This window comes from Homo sapiens, chromosome 1 (genome assembly GCF_000001405.40).
Source record: "Homo sapiens chromosome 1, GRCh38.p14 Primary Assembly".
In the NCBI taxonomy this organism is placed as follows: Eukaryota; Metazoa; Chordata; class Mammalia; order Primates; family Hominidae; genus Homo; species Homo sapiens.
The window spans coordinates 37,089,301-37,095,554 of record NC_000001.11 but is presented as its reverse complement, the minus strand read 5'-3'; positions in this window follow the sequence as shown (position 1 = coordinate 37,095,554).

Here is a 6,254-nt window from a genome sequence, read left to right as displayed (position 1 = left end):
ATGTGCTCACACAAGCCCTGCATCACACTGATTTGTGTGGCCTAGCAGGAGGCATCCTCCTCCACCCTCTCCTGTAAAGTCTGTGATGCTGTCTGGCTGGCTTTGGTCACGGGAAGTCCGGCTCCCTTACCTTGCCTCTTTCTGCCTCTTGCTGTACCCCAAATATGAGGTGGGCTCCCTTTTATGCAGAGGCTACAACAATCCAAAATGATCAATCAGAAAAGTGAAAAGGATGATTCCTTGGGAAAATACGGTTAGTGATTAAAAGCAACTCACTGCTTTAGAGATCCGGGACAGGTTGTTGAAATGCCTATGACGCTGTTTCCTCACCTGTAAACTGGGAATCATAGTCCCTAAATCACAGAGCTGTTGTGAGGATTAAATGAGATAATGTAAACAAATCCCGAATACACGATCTGGCATAGAGCAAGTGCTCAGTCAATGTCAGTTACCCTGCCCCAAACCATTTCCTCCTCCTCCTCTTCATCCTGTCTGGAGACTTTTCCCCAACACCGACTAAGATGAATAAGGGGTGCAGAGAGCCTCTCTATGCAGAGACAGGATCCCCTGAGGAATGGCTGAGGGTCCTGGGGGTCAGACAGAAGAAAAGAAGACTGTGGTGGGGGGAGGGCAAGATCTTGGCTTTCCCATCCCTGCAGAGTCATGCCGGAGCATGAGGAGCTAATGAGTTGGGGAGGGATACAGGGTGCAGGACAGAATCCATCAATGGGGTAAGTTGCTGGGAATGCCTGTGCTGGGTCAATAAGGGGAGAAGTTTCCAGTAGGAGAGCTGCATGGGCTGCCTTGAGGGGTAATAAGCTCTCCATCACTGCAGGGCAGTGAGCATAGGTGATGATGGCCCGATAGACAGTTTCCAGGTCAGAGTCTGTGGGAACAGGGATCAGCCTGTGGATGCTCTTGCAGGCTCTATGGGAGGCGGAGGGTACATGGGGCAAAGGTGCTGCCTCTCACCTGTTCCCTGGGGGCTGGTGGGGCCCAGCTGCTGCCTCTGTGATTTGCATTCAGCCTTCGTCTGTGACAAACTCTGCATGCAGCAGCCTGCTCCCAGAGATGTGCTATTTAAAGTGCTTCCCCTCCGCCCCTAAGGGTGCCATGTGTTTATCTTGCTTTCGAGTTAAAAAGGAAAATCGATTTCACTCTTACCTTAGGAAGGTTTCAGGGTGGAGGCTGTGGGGTGGTTTCATTTCATTAAAATGAAAGTGGGAGTGGTGGCAGTAAGAGCTTCAGATTCCCACCCACCTTGGCCAGTTGTGAATAAACAGTAGCCTGCATCCCTCCTCCTTTAGCCTAGACTATGGGGGTTCCAGGAGGCCTGGAGTTTGCCAGGAATGGGCACCTGAACTGTGGGTTGCAACACTCATCCCAGAGAGTGGGACAGAGAGAGAGGAACTAAGCTCATCCTTGGTGTGCGTGCATGTGTGTGAGAGTGTGTGTGTGTCTGTGTGCGGAGCTAGTCCACGGACTCTGCACTTCTCAGTAGTCTGGTCAACACTGGATTTCTTGACTATTTGAGCCAATCCAGGCTCTGAGCACTGGACACAATCCTCTTGGGTGGATGTGGCTTCTAGCCTAGGTACCCAGTCTGGGCTGGGAGGTTTTGGGCTCAGCTGAGCTAGACAGTCTGGCTGTCCTCCTTGCCCTCTCCTTTCATAGGCCCCCTTGGTGGTCTGCGTTTTTGCCCTCCACCTTCCCAGAAGCCAACAGGGAATCCCAGACCCAGGCTAAGTAGCTACTCAGGCTGCCTCTTTCTCTGAGATCTGGGCCCAGCAGGCTGGGTTGCTCCACAGAGAGGCTGAGGCAGCCAAGCAGAGCCTTTGCCTATAGGACAGGAGGTGCCTGACCAGAGGAGGTCAACTGGAGGCCTCTCCTTCTTGTCTCTGGATTGTTCAATGAGAAGGACATTTGGGGTTGAAGATTCAGAGCAGAGAGCTCCTTGGGGAAGTTCTGGAGATGGAAGATTGGAGATGGAGCTACAACCTCCCTTTACAGCTATCCTTCCCCAGAGGCCATCAGCCCCAGGGCTTCAGTGAAAGCAGACAGCGCTGCTGCGGGGAGACCCCGGGTTTCACTGACTGTACTTCTTTCCCATCCATCTACTTATATAACTAACATTTATTGAGGATCCTTCATTTCCAAGCTATTTTAACATTTTCTTAGGCCCATGTATTTACCTTCCAGTTCAAGGATACCTTGCATACACTGGGCTGATGGACCAGGCAAGGTTCCTGTCCTCAAGGAGCTTATGATCTAAAGAGAACCAGACATAGGACAAACTAGGTAGTGGAGGTGCTCTGATGCAGATTCAGCCAAAATGCTGTGGGAGTGAATGTGTTGGGACAATTGGTTCTGATGGAGATCTACAGGAAAAAGGCTCACGGAAGGAGTGAGTTTGGAGCTCCCCCTAGAAGGATGAGCAGGGTTTTAAAATGTGCCAAATCTGGTGAGGAGTAATCCAGCCTACAGGGATGGCCTTGACAGATGTTCAGTGACATGATGTGTGTGCTGTACTGGGAGACAGACAGTGGGCTGCAGTATGGCAGGTGGGTGGGAGATGATGCTGGGAGTGTGCACTGGGACATGGTGCCCTGAGGCCACAATGCTTTCAGCACCTGCTAGAGACTTCACAACTCTCCCTTTATCCCCATGGCTATATTTTGAGGTCAGCATGATCATCCTCAATATGCAAATGAGGAAACTGAATTTCAAAGGGACAAGTGATTTGCCCAAGGTCAGTCCATCAGTGGCAGAGTCAGGATTCAAACTTGACTTTATCTGACCCCAGAGTTCATGTAGCCAGGAACTACCAACTTAGGTATTTGGAGTTTATGATGGAAGCAATGGGGTGGAGACTGGGGGTCTCAAAAGTTTTTGAAGAGAAGAATGAAAGGGTCTCAGCTATTGACTTAAGAAGCTCATTTTGTAAGTGTGGTGGAGGATGGATTGGACTGGGAGGAGGAGACAGGCTCCAAGGATGTCCATAGGCTAACAAAAGAGCACAGGCTGCAGAGAGGGAGTGATGGCTGTGGGAATAAAGGGAATGGGAAGGAGGTAAGACGCAGGGTTCCCATCTGACAGGATGGGAGCAGTGGGGCCTTTAGAGCTGGCACTGGGCAGGGCTCTTACCACCATTGCAAGAGCCTGTGGGTTGGGAAGTGCCCATTAGGTTCACGTGGTCCACACCCCTGCCCTGACTGCAGATGCTTGAACCCTCTTAAAAAACTATGTGGGCTTTGGGAATTCAGTGAATGACTCAACCAGAATTCAAGAATATCTTGGCTTCTGATTGCACTCCTTCATCAAAGGGGGCGTGCACTCCCTTCTGGTTCTCAGATGCCTCCATCTGTTAGACATGTCTCCTCTCAATTAAATAAAACTTGCCCCTCCGCAGCCTCCATCCATTGGTCCAATTATGTCTCTTGGGACAAGGCAGAAGGATCTGATGCAAATTTCATATGCCCGATCACCAGACACTTGATGATAATTCTTATGTCCTCACAAACTCTTCTCATCTCCAGGCTATATAGTAACAATGGTATTAATATGAACACTTATTGTACTTTTCATGTTTCAGACACTGTGCTGAGAGCTTTACATGTGCTGTCTCAGGGGCTGGATCATGAGTAACTTTAAAATATCTTCATTAGGCATTCCATTGCAATCCCAAAAGCAAGAGGGCTTATTGCCAAATTTTAAGTAGGAGAGGGAATACTTTAGGAAGTCTAGTCAGGTGGCCAGTGTGAAGAGTGCCCTGGCAGGAGAGAGAATAAGCCGGGTGGCAGGCGGGGGGCGGGGCGGTGGGCTGTTGAAATAATCCAGGTGAGAAATGACTAAGACCTGGACATCAGTGATGGTAAAGGGTATGGCGAACAAGGGACAACTGGAAGACATTCGAGGGTAAAATCAACAGAAACTGGGGAGTAGCTGGATGTAGGAGGTGAAGGAGAAAGGAGAACCAGGTATCTTCAGATTTTTATCCTAGGCTAAATTCTATGAGACAGAAAATCTAAGAAGAGTATCTGTACCATTTGGGAGATGACGGGAGGGAGGGATTAGAAGGAGAGATTATATTTAGCTTTAAAACATATGGAGTTGCAAATATCAGTGGCATGCTATTTATTCACTTGTTCGTTTGTTCATTTATTCATTTAAGAAGGCTTTATTGAGAATCAACAGTGTACCAGGCACTCTACTAGGTGCTGGGGTTATGAAGACAGCCACCTTCCTCCTGATAAGTGTGAAAATTAGTATTACAAATATCCTTCAGTAAACCAATGGATAAAAAAACTACGGCACATCCATATCATGGAATATTATTCAGCACTAAAAGGAAATGAGCTATCGAGCACAAAAGACATGGAGGAAACTTAAATGTATATTACTAAGTGAAAGAAGCCAATCTGAAAACGATACACCCTGCATGATTCCAACTATATGATGCTCTGGAAAAGGCAATGTAGTAAAAAGATTAGTGGTTGCCAGGAATTAGGAGGAAAGGAGGGATGAATAGGCAGAGCACAGAGGATTTTTAGGGCAGTGAAACTACTCTGTATGACACTCTAATGGTGGGTACACATCAATATAAATTTGTCAAAACCCATAGAATAACCAAGAGCAATTCCTAATGTAAATCTAATGGAGTTTGGGTGATAATGATGTGTCATCAATTCATAGATTACAACAAATGTAGTTCCCTGGTGGGAGATGTTGGTAATGAGGAAGGCTGTGTGTGTATGTGGGAGCCAAGGGTACGCGGAAATTATCTTAACTTTCTGCTCAGTTTAGCAGTCAACCTAAAATTGCTCTAAAAAAATAAAGTCTAATAAAAATTAATGTTATAAGATGCCAAGATTGAAATCTGTACAGGGAATAGAATGCCGAAGGCAGCAGAGTGGTCAGGAAGTGTTTCACCATGATGGTGACCCTAGACTTGTGATGGAGATTAAATGGAGGTGTTGGATCTACCAGTCTGTAGCTCAGGACAGGGTTCTACATGGGCAATAATTATTTGGAATTCATCAGGTTGCCAATGCATGAGTGGCAGCCAAGGGAATCCAGGGAAGAGTGTGTGGAGTTCAGAAGAAAAGAGACTTGGAGGTGGCACCTACAACGCTCAATGCCTAAGGGGAGGGAAGACCTCAGAGGATTTAAGAAGGCAAGGTCTGAAAGGCAGGAGGAAAGTAAGAAAAGAGGGACACTGAAAGAAAGGAGAACACTGGAAAATAGAAACCGCAGCTCATTCTTTATGAGAGCGGCACTGGAGAACCTGGAAACAAGGGAAATCAATAAGCTTCTGAGAGTCCATTTGAATCAGTGGATCAGAGCAGAGAGATGCTAGGTCATCTAAAGATGAAAAATAGCTTTGGGGCTAGGACTACTGGACTGTAGCCTATTTTGTATGTCTAGGAAATATAAGAATGTATTGGTCAAAGGGGAGTTGGTCACAGTAGAAGGAAGTGAGAGTCCCTAGATAAAAGATGGTCAGTGCCCCTCCCAGGGCTATCCAGAAGTGAGAAAACCTTGGCCTGCAAGGCAGAGCTTCAGAAAATTCTGTCCCCATGACAGATACAGAGGGCGCTAGCCATACATCTTTGGGGTTTCAGGTACCGATGGCCAGACCATCTCAAGGGCAAGGTGAATGGAAGTGGCAGGATGAGGCAGCTCTAGTCCCTTTGTTCAGCCAGCCTCCTTTGTTCTGAGTGTTCACCAAGCAGCCTCCTGAAACCCATGTAGATGTGTTCCTAAGATGCAGGTCTTGGGCCTGGCCTTCCCCACGGAAGACTAAGAAATTGCTCCTCAAATCCCCCATATGCCCCTTTTTCTTCTCACCTGACCTCATGTTTCATTGGCATGATGAAACTTCCTCATCTTTTCCCAACCAAGTCTACTAACTTACTGGTATCTGGTTACATGGATGAGTGCCTATCAGGTCCAAACCCTTTATACATGCCCTGGACTCCACTCTAGCTAGTTTTCTCAAGGACTTTCCTCCTTCCATTCCCTCTTCCCCTCTGCTAGAACATCCTCATCTGTGGATGCACATGCTCTGGAATAACCCGTCTCCATTGACTAGACATCTTCCTGCAGATATCGTCTGACTTCCCTGCTATGCGCAACAAGACATTTTAAATTAAGTAACTGTCTACAGTCACTACAATCACCTCTCCACCTCGGCTTCTCCCCTTGATCTTCTCTACTCAGGTTTCTGTTCCCACTGCTCCCCGCAAACTGCTCAT